We start from the raw sequence: 20,274 nt of genomic DNA on the forward strand, positions 1-20,274 counted from the left end.
ACTTATTATCACTGATCTATCTGATTTTTACCATCTTATTTTGTGCTTTATGTTAAACTTTCTTAGTCCATTCTCTATTTCTCCTTGCCAAGTGTCTAATCAGATTGATCTACTTTTCTTCATTCACTTTTTTTTCTTTGTTTCTGTATTGGTTTTGCTCTTTGACATTCTAGTTCTCTTTCCTGTTAATCTTTAAACAAAATCTAAGTTTAATTACCAGTAATTTAGAAAGCTTATACTTGAATCATCCATCTCTGATTTTACATGACAATGTTCCCTCATATTTTTACTCCACTGAATTTTCTACTCCCTACTTAGGGAGGCTGTGGTTGTCATTTTACAGCCATTTCTTTCTAGATCTACCCTCACCTTAATCAATTTCATTGCTCCCATTTCCTTCCTGTATCTCACTCCCTTCTTCTAGGATCCATTTTTTAAATTAAATCTTTTGTTATTATCTGAAGTGAGGTTCAATTAGCAACAAACTCTCTTTTTAACTCCTTCTTTTATGTTCTTCCTTAATATTTAAAAAGTTTATTTATTTTATACTCTTTATCCAATACTTTAATTATTTAACCTTCTGCTTAATCATGTTCATTGTTTCTGTTAAATCTTGGTTGGGGGAGATCTCTCTTCAGCTATTTTTTTGTAATTTGCGGGTGGCAGAGTCATCTTTAGCGGGTCTCTATCTGCAGGAATTCTGTACAGCGTAGGTTGAAGACATGTCTCTCCATGAAGATTTCGTATTTACTTCTGCCAGGTTTCCCAGATTATCACTAGCCCATGACCATTTTTCTGTATTAATTTCTCAGCCTTAGAGTTCCTGGCACACACTGTTGTGTGTATGGGGTGGGGACTCGGGTAATGACAGGCTCAGTTCCAATTCTCTGCTTTGTGGAAGCTCAAGATTTCATTCCTTGCCCCTAGTTGACCTTTAAAACCCAAATCTCTGCATTATAGCAACCTAGGACAACCAGGTGTCAACATAAGAATGTGCTGCTCTGCTCTATTCTCACTTTTTTCCTTATTTTAGTCCCTAAGGAGTTCATTGCCTTTCTTCCCAGTTCAGCTGTGCATTTAAAAGGATGTTAAACTCCATGCAGCAATTCCAGGTGTTTTGCAAAAGGAATGTTTCTCAGGTCCTTTTATAGTAACCTCTCTATTTTACTAGAACCAAGAGCCCTCTCTGCATACTTTTTACCTATTTACTTTGAATAGTTTTCATTTTTAATGCAGCCATCATCCTAACTCATGTTATGCTTTACTTCATTCATTTATTAATTAATCAATTGTCAAAAATTACTTATATGAATTGTATAATCCTCTATGAAAGATTCAAAAATGGCAAGAAAGAGTGCCTGTCCTCTACTTGTTTGAGAATCTACAATTCTGTGTATTTTATTTAAAAATACATGACTAAATTATTTTTGTTAGGCTCTAAACATAGCTTTGTCATTCTGACACACTGATTTATTTCTCTGGATGAAACCATTCTCAAGTAATCATCTTGTTTTTGGATAATGATCGTTATTGTTCTTTGTTTTCTTTTGTTGTTGTTGCCTCCTGTTATTCCATGACAACATTGTGTGTGCTCATCATGTTTTAGAAATGCAATGGCTTGTTCCACATAAAGGTTTCTCCCTGCCTGGGTTTTCTTTCTTTGTCTTCTCTTTAAATGTTGCTATCCCCAGAGTTTCATCCTTGGTCTACCCCTCTCCTCTCTCCATATGTATCTTTGGGCATTCTTATTTGCTCTCATGTTTGAACTATAACATGCATGCTGTATTATTTTCCTAGGGCTGCCGTAACCAAGTACCACAAAATGTGTGGCTTAGAAACAACAGAAATTCATCGTCTCATAGTTCTGGAGGATCAAAGTCTGAAATCAAGGTATCAGCAAGGCCTTGCTCCATCCGAGACTGTGGATAAAATCTGTCCTTGGCTCTTCTAGCTTCTGGTGCTGTCCAGCAATTGAATGTTCCATTGCTTGCAGTTGCATCAGTCCAACCTCTGCCTGTCTTCACATGGAGTTCTCCCTCTGTGTTTCCATATCATCTTCCCTCTGTGTGTGTCTATGTCCAAATTTCTCCTTTGTGTAAGGACACCAGTCATTTTATTAGGCTCACCCTAATGACCTCATCTTAACTTGATTAAATCTGCAAAACCTCTATTTCCACATAAGGTCACATTCTAAGGAACTGGGGGTTAGGACTTCAGCATATCTTGTGAGGGAGGCACAATTTTTTAACCTGTAACAGGCAGCTGTTTCTGCCAGTCTATATCTTGAGTCCCCAGGGCACTCTCACAGATGCCAGACCCAAATATAAACAGAAGAACTGCACTTTTTATCCCAGGTACTGTTTAAGCATGTCACACATATTGCTATATTTAATCCATATAGCACCACATGAAGTAGGAATTATTATCATCCATATTTTGGTGATGAAAAACCTGAGAAACAGCAAGATTAAGTAGCTTCCCAGATCCCACAGTTAGTACATGGCAGAGTTTAGAACTCAAGTGCTGTGACTCCCGATCAAGGACTTTCCATCCTGAGCTCTAGGCCCACCACACTGCCTGACAGGTGTCCCAGAAGCATCTTAAACACAGGATGAACCAAACTGAAATCACCTATTTTAAACATTTTTTTTTTGTATATTCATTAACACCTACCCAGCTGCTCATGCTAAATCTAAGCTGTCTTCAATTCCATTCTTCTCTTTGACTTTCAAGAAAAACAGATAACATCATTAGCACTGTAGAAATGTAAAAATTAGCCCTGGGCAACACAGTAGATTATTTTACAAAATTCCCTCTCCACCTCCTTTGTTTACTTAAGTCTTATTTGAAAAGGCTGTTGCAGAATGTCTACAACAATTTAACAAACACATTCTCTCATCCCATTCCTGTGTTCTCCCCTGGGTATTTTTGTCAGCACAGCTTAGGAAGAAGAACCCAGACTGTGGAGTCAGAAAGAACTGGGTTCGAATCCTGGCTCTTCAAATGATTGGCTGTGACATATTTGGCAACTCTCTTAGCGTTCCTAGTTTTAGTTTCTTTACTGTCGAGTGAGAATGATAATGAGTACCTACATCATAGGGTGGTCGCATGATTTAAATGAGATAATGCCTTTTCTACAAAGTGCATGTCCAAGTGCCTGACAACAGTGCATATCAATAGATAGTAGCTGTCGTTGCTTTTTAGAAAAATGACTTGATTTTAGCCTCACATTTAACCCAATGGTGGTTTCCTCAACCGCTATTCAGCTGATAACTTTAAAATACACATAATAAACTTTGATGTTAGCATTTCTATTTTAGTGGGTTTTGTTATTTAGTTGTTTGAGCATAGCAGGAATTTAAACAGAAGATTAAAGAAGCATGTCCCATCATATCGACAGAGTGGAAGAGATCCTCGGGTGTGTTCAGGGACGTAACAAAGAAAGATGAAGACACAAGTCATTTCACCAGCAGGTTCTGGGCCTGAGAATAGGCTCTGGTCTCACCCAGTTGTGCAAGTGTTCCCGGGAAAGTCATTTCACCTCTCTCAGTCTTGGTTTTCTCATGTTTAAAGGAAGACTGAACTTAGACCACCAAGAATCCTGCAACCCCTGCGAGTCTGCGATTCCTGCTAGTTAGATCTAGATTACTGTTAACTTGATAAATCACATTTACTCTCCTCCACACAGAATCCAAGTGCTGGCTGTGTTGTCTGGCGATTGAGAACACAAAAGACATGATCATCACCTCACTAAACTTACAATCTAATAGAACAGACAGGCTTATAAATAACTCACGCTAAGAGGATTGGAAACATAATATATCAGCCATCAGGGCTTGGTCGGAGGGTATGTTCTATTACTTGTTATTCACTGGCTTTCAAAGCCCAGTGGGGGAATGTCAATATTTAGGGAGGATCATGTGGAAACTATGCAGTCCTCTAACACTCTGAGAACTCAAGATCCCTTCTTTACATGAAATCAGACTGCCAAAGACTCATGCTGGGTGTCTGTCCTCTACCTGTGCTGAGCTATTCTCTAATGTAACTCAGCGCTCACAGAAGATGTCACAAGAAATAAGCTGTTGAAATGCAGTGCTGCAACTGTGGCAGGAAGACGGTCGATGGTCAGGTCTATGGCCCCAGTGGCCCCAAAAGGGATCCTTCTTTTAGGATTCTACACTATGATAAACATTGCCTTCCCTGTGAAACTTCTTTTTTGAAAGGAAAAATTATTTCCCCAAATAACTCTTTTCATTTTGGCTGCCAGGAAGCTCAAAGCCATACTAGAAACTTAAGTACAGCATCTTGGGCAAGCTTGTGGTCAAAATGGCTGCATTCTTCCCTCACATGCTCTTGGCTTCTCATTTGTATTTTTAACTGCCTTAGCACTGATTCCTAATTTCCATTTGATAAGTCAATTGGGTATAAGCCCATCAGTAGTTTAGTTCACACGGCACCTCAAATCCTTTGCAGAATATCCACATTTAAGTAAGTATATACATGCATTTGAGAATACAATATGAAACAAAATAAAGTATGATAACAAAATAATTGGTAAGATGTCATAAGAGGAGTGATTAATTTGCCAGAGGATCAAGCATGGCTCCCTTGACAGGGCAGATTTTGAAGATGTCTGGAAGAATGAGCAAGAGCATTCCAGAGAGGGAACCGCAGGGACAAGGACACCGGGTGGTGAAAATGCAGCGCGTGAGTTGGGGATGTGGCAGAGGAAAACGGCAGAGGCTGCAAAGGGCTTTCGAAATCACATCATCGTGGGTATAAATGAAGCTGTTCTTGATTCGTCCTGTCATAGCAATCTCCATTCCTCACATGCTCTGAAATACTGGTCTGAGTCATTCATTTGAGCTCTCAATCACACCTTCTCCTGTCTGTCAAAAACTACTTACCCCACATGGGTGGGTCTTAGCTACTTCTGACAGCCTTCGGTCATCTCCTCAGTGATTAAGAGTAATGGGAACTCCATGAACACTTTCTAACGGAATAGAAAGGTCCTAGCACAGGGGTCTGAGTAAGACACAAGTCATGTAGCTTCAGCCACACATGTTTGGTGGGCAAGAAAAGGTGATTTTAAATCTCATTAGAGCTTTTATTCACGGTGAATGGAACACAGTAAGAGTTTAATGAATGAATTAATAATGAAGAAAGTGAAGAGATACAGTGAAGAGAAGAATGTGGCTACTCTTATCTCTGAGATTACTGATTATTGCAAGGGTCTATGCTGAAAGTGAATTATTTTAAAAATAGAAGCAGAGGCATTTGAAAAACTCAACACTTTAGCACCTATTTTAAGGAATTAAAACAGAAAAAGAGGCCAGGCCCGGTGGCTCACGCCTGTAATCCCAGCACTTTGGGTGACCGAGGTGGGTGGATCATCTGAGGTCAGGAGTTTGAGACCAGCCTTGCCAACATGGTGAAACCCCGTCTCTACTACAAATACAAAAATTAGCTGGCTGTGGTGGCAGGCGCCTGAGATCCCAGCTACTCAGGAGGCTGAGGCAGGAGAATTGCTTGAACCCAGGAGACAGAGGTTGCAGTAAGCCGTGACCGCGCCATTGCACTCCAGCCTGGGCAACAGAGCGAGGCTCCATCTCAAAATAAATAAATAAATAAAAAATAATAATAAAAAAACAGAAAAAGAGAAATCTTTCAAAATGCTATAAGCTGCTAAAGCGAGAGGTCCTATTGCATTTTGGTCAGCATTTTGCAACTTTTAAGAAGTGAATGGAGCCTGTGCCTTCCTCTTTGTTAGCCACTTGGTTAGCACATCTCCATGTTCACAGCCAACACCTAAAGAGTAACAGTAACTACTGCAATGAGTGATTCTTCATTTTTTTTTGGAATGTTAATGTGATACTGTTAATCATTTCTATCTTTCCTTTTTGTCTACTTGCCTTTTCTAAAAGTGATAAACCATATCTTTATTAAAAATAATTCAAGTCTATTAAAGTAAAATTTATATCTTCTATCTAGATTAGAACTTTTCAACCTTATTGTACATGAAAATTACATACACAATAAGCATGTTAATAATGTAAAATTTCCAACCCCACACCCAGGTTTGGAACATTTGGAAGTGTGTGTGTGTGTGTGTGTGTGTGTGTGTGTCTGGGAAAGGGTCTCACTCTGGCTTCCTGGTGGGAGTGAAGTGGTGCAATCATGGTTCACTGCAGCCTCAAACTTCTGGGCTCAAAGAATCCTCCCGCCTCAGTCTCCCAAGTAGCTGGGACTACAGGAACCACCACTACACCTGGCTAATGTTAAAATTTTTTGTAGAAATGGGGTCCCACTATGTTGTCCAGGCTGGTCTTGAACTCCTTGGCCTCCCAAAGTGCTGGGATTACAGGTGTAAGCCACTGTGACTGGCAGGAAATGTGTATTTTTAATCATAAATTTTCCAGGTAATCTTGATACAAGTGGTTCTGACCATACTTTGAAAAACACTTTCTAGGCCAGGCGTGGTGGTTCATGCCTGTAATCCCAGCACTTTGGGAGGCCGAGGTGGGCGGATCACCTGAGGTCAGGAGTTTGAGACCAGCCTGGCAAACATGGCGAAACCCCATCTCTACTAAAAATACAAAAATTAGCCTGGCGTGGTGGCGGGCGCCTGTAATCCCAGCTACTCAGGAGGCTGAGGCAGGAGAATCACTTGAACCTGGGAGGCAGAGGTTGCAGTGAGCTGAGATCCTGCCATTGCAATTCAGTCTGGGGAACAAGAGCGAGACTTTGTCTCAAAAAAAAAAAAAAAAAAAAAAAGAAAGAAAGAAAAAGAAAAACACTTTCTAGTCAACCTCCAAATTAAGCTCGGCCAAAAAAGAGCCATGTAACCAGCATGGGGGATGTCACACTTGTCAGGCCCCTCTTATTACAACTGGTTTCACTGAATGACACTTGGGTTTACGACAGTGTAAGAGACTGCCCTGCCCTATGAGAGATCCTCCTAGATTTACAGATACTCGCACCAAATACATAGATAAAAACCAGAGATGGGAATTATGGCCTAACCAGTACCCTTTGGGAAGGCACAATCAACAGTCTTGCCAGAACAACAGGCACAAACCAGGGCTGCCCAGAATGCCTGGTGGCGCTACTGGTTGAATGCTTTGCTCATGACTCCCCTTATCTTCCTTAGGACAAACAGAGGAACACATCTTCCTCCAGACTCAGAATTAATAGCTGGACCATCTTTTCACATTTGCTTTCTTTTTATCCTGTAGGCACTGAATTATCCCTTTCATACTGCCTGATGATACCTCGAAGCCAAATAACACCTACCTTTTGCAATTCTGCAATATTTAAATGTTGCAATTAAAAATACACATACACACACACACACGTGCGTGTAAACCTCACTCCTGGTTTTACTCTCTCTGTTCAATTTTTACTTTAGTCCATTCTCCACATTCCTTTATTTTTAAAAAGTGGATTCTACCGTGCTCTTTCATATGTATCTATGTGAGCTTTCTTAAATCTGTTCTGAAATAGGAGGCAGTGTAAATATATCAAGTGACAGTCTACATTTATCCTTCAGGGACATTTTCTAGTTGACACTTTCTTATGGGCTTTTTTTTGACACTTTTTTTATGGGCTTCTTTATTAACTCAAGATCATGAGTATCAAAACCAGGGTTGAGGGAATCGCTTCTCAAAAGTGGGTTCCAGGTACCAGAACCCAATCTGAACACGGACAAAGCCCCCCAGCTCCTCTGTGGTTTTATCTCTCAGTCTCCGTACAGTACAAATTTCCTCATCAGTGTTTATTAGGGCCACTGCTATCTCTAGTGTGTAAACATCGGCATGTATTGATGATGGTACAAATGTTTAGGAATAACTGATGGTTTTTTTTTTTTTCACTCAGCTATCCGTGTGATTTGCATTAGTGCCAAGCAATGTCTCTAAGTAGTAAGGTCTATGTGAACCACTCAGGACCAGGTCTGGAGAATTCTTTTTGCACACATGGGGTACTCCGTGCCCCAAATCTGCCTTAGTGAGGTGCCTGGATACCATGGGGATGGATACAGCAGCTGGTACAGCTGCCTGAGGTCCTGCAACCTCATGGCCACATTGGAAAATTGTCCAGATTGTGCAATGAAGCTGTGTGTGTGTGTGCGTGTGTGTGTGTGTGTGTTCATCTCTGTGTGTGTATGAGCACACATACATGAAGCTTGACCAATAACTGAAAGACTCACAACTTGCAAAATCAGCCACAACTAGCTCTCTTACAAACACTATTAACTGAATAACTGCCTACACTGGCGTGAAGCAACTGAAGGAGGGAAGAGCTGAAGAGAAGAGTACTTTGCTCCAAAGAAAGGAAACAGCCTTCACATCAAAGCTTACTATAAGCCAATTTGCAGAGCTATCCTTGCATCCATCCAGCTAATATTTGATGAGCAGCTACTATGTATAAAAAATCCTGGGTGCTCTGACTTCAGTTGATTCTCTGTTCTCTTCCCCACACAAATATCTCTCTTATTTTCTAAATACTTTCCTTAGTGTAGAAAGACTCAAGTCTGGCCCTACTGAAAAGGATATTTATGACATCAAAGCATATTGATGGCCTCATGGAAATACAGCCTCACCAGTTAGAAGATGGTACCAGGCATTACCTCTTACATCTGTGATTCAATGAGGAACCAAGCAAGGAATCTTCAGTGCAGGCCCCCTCAGATGGATTCTCTCATCTTTGAGATCTAAACACTTTGTTTTGTCTCCTTTGAAGAAATTACATTCTTAAGGAGGAGGGCAAAGGGTGAGATGGGTTAGGGGGCTTCCTTTGGGTGTCTACTTCACTTTGTTCATGCCCAGAGAGTGTCTGGGCAACACACCACTGCCCTCCTGCCTCTCCTCCAGGCACATCCTAGCCTTCGAGTTTTTCTTATGTGCCACACATCTGGAGTGGGCACCTGGGACATTTGTGTTTCTATTTTTCCCATCCAACAGGAACAGCCCCCTGTTCTGAGGCACAGCAGCAAGTGAGGCAGTCTCAGGCATTCAGGTGCATTGTCAAGATCAAACCAAATGCATGGCCTCTGTACCTGTCAACTGCCTTTCAGTAAATACTAAGGACGGTTTTCTCCCTTTCGTAATCTACCATCAGTGTCTCCTGTAAGTCTTAAAAAATGCTTTGAAATCAGGCACAACCCCAAAGGATGGTCCCTTTCACACCCCACTGCATCGAACCAGCTTTACGTGTTTGCTGAAAGTCACATGGTGACAGATCTAAGCTGAAACCTGGGATTCAAATCCAGGCCAGATGTTTTGCAAAGTACCCTGCACTCCTGAACTCTTCTGTCTAGAAGGTGACAGAAGCCCACTGGGCATGATCCAACTCAGGTAAAGGGAAAGTCACACCATGGAGGGAATCTAACCTGTTTGCCATCACACTTCGCAGATATTAATTTAGGTGACCCCAGGAGCAAGGGAGAATTGAGTTTGTGCAGATTTCACCCATGCATGCCCTTGGCTACTTTGCCAACAAGGAGTAACTTGTACAGTGCAGCTCAGTGGTGAGGTGTCCGTTCATCCATTCTCCACCTCCCTTAATATTCACTGAGCACCTCCCACTTACCAGGCACTGCAACTGGCCCTGGAGATAGGGCCTTTGTGGGGCTTATGTTCCATTCAGGGAAGAGGATAATAAGAAAACTTTTTATTTTTTTATTTTTATTATTTTGAGACGGAGTCTTGCTCTTGTCGCCCAGGCTGGAGTGCAATGGCACAATTTTGGCTCACTGCAACCTCTGCCTCTCTGGTTCAAGCGATTCTCCTGCCTCAGCCTCCCAAAGTGCTGGGATTACAGGTGTGAGCCACCATGGCTGGCCAGTAAGAAAACTTTTACATAAACATGCAATATAATGGCAGAAGGGAATGAATGAAATCAAGAAAAATCAGGCCAACAGGAGACTGGCAGTCACAGGTGGAGACGAGAGCAATTCCAGACGGAAGTGCTCAGGACTGGCCTCCCTGAGGCCATGACATTGGCACGGATACTTGGTGAAGGAAAATGATATGGAACTACCTGGAATTAAGGGTTTCAGGCTGAGCTGACGCCAAATTCAAATCCCTGAGGCAGGACCGCAGGGTGACCAGATGGCTGAAACAAGTAACAGGAGGGAACCCACAGAAATTGCTGTAAGCAGCTGAGATTTAATCCAATGCCAACAGGCAGAGACTAAAGGAGTAAGGCAGACCTGCCTGAGTCCTAACTTGGCCTCTTATTAGCCTAATGCCCTTGGAAAAGTTGGTGGACCTCTCTGAACTTCATCTTCCTCATCAGGGAAATCATGAGAAAGATGTCCATTTGCAAAGATTGCTTGAGATCACGTTTCTAAAGCATTTATCCAAATGCCTCCTGTAGGGTAAAGGTTCACTGACTGGTGACTGTTGCTGTTGTTCTTATATTTCTGGCTTTAGGTAGCATGTATCCTCTGAGGAGCTTTAAGTCATTTTTTCTATTACCTTTAGTTTGGCTAAATAAATAAGTTCTTGTCACGTCTTTCAAGTTCAAGAGCTATTCCTTTGGGTTGGTTTTGAATTATGTTTGTGGTAAAGAGTTACTCTGGTTATTAGAATCTGTATTACAGGCCAGTGATAGCTGGAATTTTAGATGCTTAAGGGAACACGTAAGACAGCCATATAATATATGGCTCCCACATGTTTATTTTTCCAGATAAGAGAATTTTAAAAACAAACAAGTCTATCATCTATCATAAATAGTACCTCATGAAGGACAGGATATTTGGAACAATAATCTCCAAGAAGTGGCAATTCCTCCCTAGAAAGGTCACCTTTCATAGACATATACACACGTGTGCATATGTGTGTGCACACAAGCAAGGCTGCATGTTTGCCTGGACATCCTCTTTCTCTCTGTCTCTCTCCATACGTAGTGTGTGTGTGTGTGTGTGTGTGTGTGTGTGTGTGTGTGTATTTTTCTCTATGTGGCAAAATAAAGAGCTGGGGCTACATACTGCTGTCTCACATATTTTTTAAATATTTGTATTTTTAAATACAGGTGTATTTTTCTTGCTTTGCTGTCGATCCGTGAACATGTCCTCATGCATAGACCTCTGCCAGCTCCCATTTACAAGCCCTGCTCTGGACAAAGGAGATGTGATCAATGCCACAGGTGGGGGAGAAGAGCTCCCTGAGGCTCAGCCTAGCCTTGGGGAAGTTGCGATCTGCCGAGGGCAGTGAAGCTGTGGGCACCTGACCTGCTGGCACGATAACTCTGCGCTCGTTCGTGGTCATGTTTGGGGGTGGCATGTGCTTCTCCTCCATGTAGCTGCCGTAGTTCATCCCAACGGTGTCTGGGCTGCCCACCATCTTCCCGCCTTTGGCCACACTGCATTCATCAGGAGAGTTCCTGGAGGAGAAGAAATATTCTTCCATTATAACAGCAATCAAAGAGCATGTCTCCATCGACTTCTCACAATACACAGAGAGAACCAAAGAAGGGCAAGGCGGAAGAGACTGGGGGAGAAAGGACAAGTGTGAAAAGCCAAATACAGGCGGGGTGCCGTGGCTCATGCCTGTAGTCCCAACACTTTGGGATGCCGAGGTGGGCGGATCATGAGGTCAAGAGATCCAGACCATCCTGGCCAACATGGTGAAACCCCGTCTCTACTAAAAATACAAAAATTAGCTGGGCATGCCTGTAGTCCCAGCTACTCAGGAGGCTGAGGCAGGAAAATTGCTTGAATCCGGGAGGTGGAGGTTGCAGTGAGCTGAGATCATGCCACTGCACTCCAGACTGGCGACAGAGTAAGATTCCATCTCAAAACAAAAAAGAAAAGAAAAGAAAAGAAATGCCGAAAACAGGCCTTGCCTTCTGTCCTCCCGAAATGCATATTTTGAAGCCCTAACTCCCAATGTGATGATATTAGGAGAGAGAGCCTTTGGGAGGTAATTTCAGTTTGATGAGGTCATGAGGGTAGAGTCCCACGATGGGATTAGTGCCCTTATTAGAAAAGAAAGAGACCAGAGCTCGAGCTCTCTCTCTCTCTCTCTCTCTCTCTCTCTCTCTCTCTGCCATGTAAGGGCAGAGCAAGAAGGTGGCCAGGCCATCTGCAACCCAAGGACAGAGACCTCACCAGAGACTGGCCCTGCTGGTGTCTGATTTTAGACTTCCAACCTCCAGAAGTATGCAAGCTCGAGTCCCATTGTTTCAGCCAGCCAGTCTGTGGGGCTCTGTGAAGGCAGCCTGCACAGGCTAGGACAGTGCCCATACTGGCTAGATGCACAGAACACGCACAAGGGAGGCGGAACTACCACCTGGCTTCTGTTTCTTAAGCAGCTCCTCCTGAAACTGTCATGTCAAAACTCCATCTGTGACAACTGATTGGGGACACTTGCAGGGAACAGTGAACTGCTCTTTGTTCTCGCGGTGTGACAGCAAACAGGCAGAGTAGACAGATGCTGTGGGGCGGCACCAGGGACACTCGCTGCTCAGTGAGGTTTATCCTGGAACGACGTTCCTTCTCAAAACCTCAGAATGAAATCCTCCTGCTCAATTTCAAATCCCTGCAGCCAATCTTTACATATGGAGCTTTGAAGACTCACAGTGTTCCAGGCTTAGGTGTAGACAGGAAGGGCAGGGAAGGGTGAGGACTGACGCTAGGGGAGGCCTCATGGGGAGTGGACTCCAGCAGTCCTAGAGGACCCTTGGGAAAGGGATAGGGAAGGAACTGTGTGGATGCAGAGAGGGGTCAGCTACTGACTACTGACCGTGGGCAACAGGTCACAGGGCTGCTGTTAGTAAGGCAGTCACTGTCATTTGGATAAAGTCAAACCTACCTTTCTGGAAAAAGAAAAGGAAAACATTTTAAACAGTGAGTTGTGAAAGCTACAGGACATTGGTGAAATCGCATCTGATAGGGAAATGCTAAAAAGAAAATCCAGCTTAGGGCCAGGAGTGGTGGCTCACACCTGTAATCCCAGCATTTTGGGAGGCCGAGGTGGGCAGATCACCTGAGGTCAGGAGTTCAAGACCAGCCTGATCAACATGGAGAAACCCAGTCTTTACTAAAAATACAAAATTAGCTGGGCAAGTGGTGGTGCATGCCTTTAATCTCAGCTACTCGGGAGGCTGAGGCAGGAGAATCCCTTGAACCTGGGAGGTTGAGGTCGTGGTGAGCTGAGATGGCGCCATTGCACTCCAGCCTGGGCAACATGAGTGAAACTCCATCAAAAAAAGAAGAAAGGAAAGAAAGAAAGAAAGAGAGAGAGAAAGAGAGAGAAAGAAAAGAGAGAGAAAATCCAGCTTAAGCAGAAAACAGAAAATACATGTCAGTGCCTTCTTAGATGGTTAACACGTAGATGGTAAACCCAGGGTCACTGTAGCTGAGAAGTATTAATATTTAGGGTCTGTTGTCTAAGGCGGATTTCCAGAAATGCCTCTCAGGCTCTATCCAATGCATACATTTTTTTCATATTCCTTGGAATCTGGGAACCTTCGCTTTCTCTAGATTTTAGATTTCTATCCCAGTGTTTCTGGTTGTGGGATCCACGCCAATGAAGCCTCATTTATCTCCTCCACTTCTTGTTAGTTGGAGTTCTGCAGAGAACTTGGACAATCAAAAAACTATGGGCTTGGCATGGATGTGAACTTCAAGTCTAAGGAGGTCAAAACCATCTGAGGCAGGAGCGCACTTTCTGAGTGGGGTGAGATGGAGAAGGTCATTCCACACCTGAAAGCCATAGCTGGGATGTGGACAGGAAGGGAAAGTGTTTGTTCAGCATGTGGGAACTTGAAAATATAGGTTTGTTCTCAGCATCACTTACAAATGTGTCTGAAGCCTATGGAGGGATCTTAGGTGTTGGCAGTGAAGAGGGTACACTGCCATCTGCGGATGGAGGTTACAGTCAGGGTCACGCAGGACTCAGGCCCTAACATGGGCCTGGAATGCACAGCCCTGCCTGATGGCATCCTCACAGCTGTGCTAACATGAAGGAAATTTTAAAATAATAATGGTCTGAGTTCCCATGAAGTAGATCCTGAATATTTCCACCGCTGCCTACACATGCATTATTTCCTCTTGATGCTATTTTTCCTGGCTTCACACATTTATCTCTAAAAGACCCATCCTAATATGAAAACACAGAGTGTCTTCACTTAGACTGAGTTTCCTATTCCTCTGGAAAATTCCATCAGTTGAGTAGAGTGTATATGTTTTGGTATATTTGTCTCAAGGAGAGAAGTTACCAGGGAAGAGAAGTTAGAGGGATTAGGTTCTTTAGGAAAAAGACTTTGCCCAGATGATGTGAGTAACTCAAGTAACAACTATAAAATCTAGACAACCTTTGTTCAGATTCAATCATTCACTCATCCATTTAGACAGCTGTTATCAAGTGCCGGCCGTATACCAGGTCCCATCAATTCTTTCTTCTCCAACAACGCAGTTAACAATTTGAAAAGTAAAAGATCAAAGAGATGTATAAAATTATAGAAACAGGCCAGGTGTGGTGACTCACGCCTGTAATCCCAGCACTTTGGGAGGCCGAGCTGGGCGGATCACCTGAGGTCGGGAGTTTGAGACCAGCCTGACCAACATGGAAAAACCCTGTCTCTACTTAAAAAAAAAAATTAGCCGGGCGTGGTGGTGCATGCCCGTAATCCCAGCTACTCGGGAGGCTGAGGCAGGAGAATCGCTTGAACCAGGGAGGCGGAGGTTGCGGTGAGCCAAGACCACGCCATTGCACCCCAGCCTGGGCAACAAGAGCAAGACTCCATGTCAAAAAAAAAAAGAATTATAGAAACAGGGGACATTGAGGATTTTGAACCCTTCAGACCAACCCCTTTTTCATTTTCTTTTAGTTCTTTCTAGTTTAATTTTCATATCCGAGGACAAGAACTCTAGGCATAGATCACAAGAGTTTCTCTGTGACATTAAAGTAGATCCTTCAGGCTGGTTGCGGCAGCTCATGCCTGTAATCTCAGCACTTTGGGAGGCTGAGGCAGGCAGATCACTTGAGGCTAAGTGTTCGAGACCAGCCTGGCCTCCCAAGTAGCTGGCATTACAGGCGCCTGCCACCACGCCTGGCTGATTTTTGTATTTTTAGTAGAGACGGGGTTTCACCATGTTGGCCAGGCTGGTCTCGAACTCCTGACCTAAGGTGATCCTTCTGCCTTGGCTTCCCAAGGTGCTGGGATTACAGGCGTGAGCCACTTCACCCAGGTTTCTCTTGCAAATTTTAACAGCAAAAGAGTAGCCTTAACATGTTTGGGATCTGTTTTGGGAGCTTAATAGTTATCAGTCTTCACCACAGCGAACTGTGTTGCTGGCATTGTCTCCACTTTCCAGAGGTGTGAACTGAGTACTCAAAACACAAGGGGCTGGCTCCAGGACTCACAGCCAGGAGGAGGTAGAATGAGACTTCAGTGCGGGTGGCCCGAACTCTCCATCCCTGCTTCTTAACCCTGAACAGAATGACTCCACAAAGTAAAGGCAAGACAATGTCTTTTCAAAGGTAACTAGATCTTCATTTCAGGAAGGCATCAGGGACTCCCTGACCCATACACTACTCTGGTTTAAGGTGTACACTAAAGCACTCATCCTGACATACTCTCCTACCCTGGGACTGTTCATTCCCTGAAAAGCATGTGCATGACACAAACAGGGCACATATACAAGATGCAAATAAGAAAGAGGAGTGATTCCTGGAGAAGAAAAGAATTTTCAGAGATATCTGCTTTACTTAAGAAAAGGACGCCAGGCACAGTGGCTCACGCATATAATCCCAGCATTTTGGGAGGCCAAGATAGGTGAATTGTTTTAGCTCAGGAGTTCAAGACCAGCCTGGACAACATGAAAAATGTGTTTACAAAAAATACAAAAATTAGTCGGGCATGGTGTGCACCTGTAGTCCCAGCTACTCAGGAGGCTCAGGTGGGAGGATCACCTGAGCCTGGGGAGGTTGAGACTGCAGTGAGCTGAGATCATGCTACTGCACTGCAGCCTGGACAACAGAGCAAAACCGTGTCTCAAAAAAAAAACAAAAGAGAGAAAAAAAGAAAAGGAAATTTTATCACAATTCAGAGAACTGAAAAGTGTTCATTTGAAAGTCTCACTATAAATACATTTCTAGCTCTGTGCCCAAGAAAAGATCCACACTGCACAAATGTGTGTCTTGATTACTCCACTGCAACCCCACCTTCACCAGGCATTCCGAGGCTCACACATCGCCGGGAAAAAGTTCCCGCAAACAGCTTGGTATGTCACCTGCACCAAGCGCTGCCCAGCATAGAGGACCACGTGTTCTCCATTCTCACATGATAAGGATTTGGACGTTCAATGCATTGTTTTATTGTGCACATGACAAAGAGTATGCTGTGCAGGGAATGAACAGTCCTGAAGTAGGACAGTGTGTCAGGATGAGTGCTGCAATGTACACTTTAAACCAGAGTAGTGTATGGGTCAGGGAGTCCCTGATGCCTTCCTGAAATGAAGACTAGTTACCTTTTAAACATACACATACTTTTAAACATACACATACTTGCATATGTGTGTTGCAGCAGTTCCTGAGAATATTCTCAGGCTATTCAGCAGGTGCCTGTCAAACAGATAATCATTTAGTAAATATTAAATGTATCTGTCTTTTTGTTTGGGGTGGAAATTTCTTTATTGCAAATAAGCGTGGTTCAAGATATTGCTCTCACAGACTCCTTTGAGGACAAACAAAAATCATTTTGTCTTTTTATTTAATTTAAATAGTTTTGGGGGAACAGGTGGTGTCTGGTTACACGAATAAGTTCTTTAGTGGTGATTTCTGAGATTTTGTTGCACCCATCACCCAAGCAGTAAACACTGTACCCAGTGTGCAATCTTTTCTCCCTCACCCACTCCCATGCTTCCCCCAGAGTCCCCAAAGTCCACTGTATCATTCTTATGCTTTTGTGTCCTCATAGCTTAGCTTCTAGTTATAAGTGAGAACACACAATATTTGGTTTTCCATTCCTGAGTTACTTCGGTTAGAATAATGGTCTCCAACTCCATCCAAGTTGCTGCAAATGCCATTTTCTTCCTTTTCATGGGTGCATAGTATTCCATGGTGTGTGTGTGTATATACACACACGCATATATACACATATACCCACACATATACATATGTATATATGTACATATACACATATATGTATATCTACATATGCACACATATACATATATAATATGTACACATATACATATATATGTACACATATACACATGTACATACGCACATATAAACATGTGTGTATACATGTATACACGTGTACACATGTACATATACACATATGTGTATATACATGTATGCACATGTACATATATACATATGTGTATATACATGTATGCACATGTACATATATACATATGTGTATATGTACATGTATACACATGTACATATATACATATGTGTATATGTACATGTATACACATGTACATATATACATATGTGTATATATACATGTATACACATGTACATATATACATATATGTGTATATATGTATATATGTGTGTATACATGTATATGTGTGTGCATATATGTCTATATATATGTGTGTATATATATATACACACACACACACACACCACATTTTCTTTATCCACTCATTGGTTGATGGGCATTTAGGCTGGTTCCACATTTTTGCAATTGCGAATTGTGCTGCTATAAACATGCATGCGCAAGTGTCTTTTTCATTTCCTCTGGGTAGATAACCAGTGGTGGGATTGCTGGATCAAATGGTAGTTTTACTTCTAATTTTCCATACTGTTTTCCACAGTGGTTGTACTAGTTCCATAGTGGTTGTACTAGTTTCCATGCTGTTTTCCATAGTGGTTGTACTAGTTTACATTCCCATTGGCAGTGTAAAAGTGTTCCCTTTTCACCATATCCATGCCAACATCTATTTTTTTTTTATTTTTAATGATGGCCATTCTTGCAGGAGTAAAATGGTATCACCCTGTGGTCTTGATTTGCATTTCCCTGATAACAAGTGATGTTGAGTGTTTTTTCATGTTTGTTGGCCATTTGTATTTCTTCTTTTGAGAATTGTCTATTCATGTCCTTAACCCATTTTTTGATGAAATTATTTATTTTTTTCTTGCTGATTTGTTTGAGTTGTCGATTCTGGATATTAGTCCTTTGTCAAATGCATAGTTTGCAAATATTTTCTTCCACTCTGTGGGTTGTCTGTTTGCTGATTATTTCTTTTGCTGTGAAGAAAGTTTTTGGTTTAACTAAGTCCCATCTATTTATCTTTGTTTTTGTTGCATTTGCTTTTGGATTCTTGGTCATGAACTGTTATTCTCAAATTTACATTTTCAGTTCCAGGTTCTATTTGTCACCCACAGACATTAGTCTTGACAGTCCTATGCAATATGTGGCATCAACAAGAGTAAACAGGAGCTGGGAAGACAGATACTTCCCTCTGCTCACAGCAGCAGAAATTCCACATTAGCCAGGGGGCCCCAAGAGGTGGGGGGCTGGTTCAGAATTCTGAGAAAGAACTGAACAATAGCCCAATGGCTGGGATATTAAAAAGCCAGCCATAACACCTCACAACTCCCTAGCAACACCCTTGGGGCCACACAGCCTCAAACTCCTGAGCTCAAGCAATCCTCCTTGGTTCAGCCTCCCTATGAATAGCTGGGACTACAGGCCACACTCCTTGAGGAGTGTAACCTCTGCAGCAATCTCACACTTTTCCATGGCATTTGGTCATAACTGTGGTCACTCACAGGAACACAGAAATAGTGTAGGAAGACAACCAAACATTCATGATGGAAATAAAAAAAACCAGAATGCTGGTGTCCTTCTTCTAGTAACTGGAGACGTGCCCAATGAAACTGGCTTGTTGAGCTTCAAACAATAATCTCCCTTAAACAGCAGTTGGAGAATTAAGTTCTAATCATTTAAAATCATGAGCACTGACTTCTTAAAACATACTAGTATTCTGAATTAATGAGAAAAGGACACGGCAAAGAATATCAAATACATTGGAAATTTTGTTAAATTTGAGTTAAGGAGAGAAGGCAGACACGTTGCTAAGCCCAGTTGGGTTCTCATAGGGTTACTGAATCAGAGGGCTGGAAGAAGCCCCATTTTCAAGCCCCCAGACATGACTGTCTGGAAACCACTTGGATGAACAAGAGTTTAGCTTCGTTAACAGTTTTTTAGGGAGGGGCTTCGTAATTTTCCTCTGCAACTCCAGAGTTCTATTTATAAATATGTATAGTGGTTTTAAATAGCCATTATTCCCCTACCTGTGTGCAAGCTATGTGAAGTTTGGGGTGGCTTATAAAAATACATATAAGACAAAATGATAACATAAATAATTAACAGAATAAAAATGAGGAAACAAGGGCCAAAAAGGAATTAAGAGATGAAAGCAGCCCACTGAGTAAGCTTACTATTTATCCTGCTGAGGTAGGATACCAATTCAACTCTGAGCTTTCTACTAGCCAAAGCAAAGACACAAGTGCATCTGATGACAAGGTTTGAGGTATTAATAAGCTACATACAAACCAGTTATTCAGCAGAAATAAAGCTCTCCCTGGGTTAAGCTTTGAGAGTTTTTCTCGGGGCTTCTCATGAAGAAAACTGGATTATGCAGTAAACAATATCGTTCCCAACATCTCATAATACATCTAAGACCATCCCGCACCGTGCCAGGCGTAGCTGGTGGCAGAGCAGGACGCTCCCTGCACACAGTGCTCACATGCTGCAGCCACAGAGGATGAGAGACGGCATGTCCCCAGCCTCTCCTCCTTACTGGCTGCCATTGGAAAGATCAGACCTGTCAGAGAAGTCAATGCAAAAACATGAAAAAAACGTGTAATTAAAAAAGGAGAAAACCTTGAGAGATGCAGTGTTATACATGCCTCTAGTTTCATAACTCCCAAATTTCTAGATTTGATTTGATTTTATTGTTTTTTAAGAGACAGGGTCTTGCTCTGTCACCCAGGCTGGAGTACAGAGGTATGATTATAGCTCACTGCAGTCTCAAACTCCTGGGCTCAAGCGATCCTCTTGCCTCAGCCTCCCAAGTAGTTGGGACTACAGGCACGTGCCACCACACCCAGCTGTTTTTTAATTATTTGTATAGATGGGGTCTCACTATGTTGCCCAGGCTGGCCTCTAACTCCTGTCCTCAAGCAATCCTCCCACCTCAGCCTCCCCAAGAACTGGGATTGCAGGCATGAGCTGCTGCACTGAAACCCCTAATTTCTAGATTTTAAATTCAAATTTACCAACACTAAATAGGGTCATGTTTAT

The 20,274-nt window shown here is 42.5% G+C and overlaps 1 protein-coding gene across 9 annotated transcripts in view; it reads right to left on the reverse strand.

Moving 5' to 3' along the window:
* The window catches only part of ERG (ETS transcription factor ERG), a 294,523-nt gene that overhangs the window by 44,916 nt on the left and 229,333 nt on the right, over positions 1 to 20,274 (reverse strand). For all 9 annotated transcript variants that reach the window (NM_001243432.2, NM_004449.4, NM_001136154.1 and 6 more), the window contains one exon: positions 11,234 to 11,385. In NM_001243432.2, coding sequence (NP_001230361.1) covers positions 11,234 to 11,385 — 152 coding nt within the window. The remainder of the gene's footprint in view (positions 1 to 11,233; positions 11,386 to 20,274) is intronic.

Source organism: Homo sapiens, chromosome 21 (assembly GCF_000001405.40).
Source record: "Homo sapiens chromosome 21, GRCh38.p14 Primary Assembly".
In the NCBI taxonomy this organism is placed as follows: domain Eukaryota; kingdom Metazoa; phylum Chordata; class Mammalia; order Primates; family Hominidae; genus Homo; species Homo sapiens.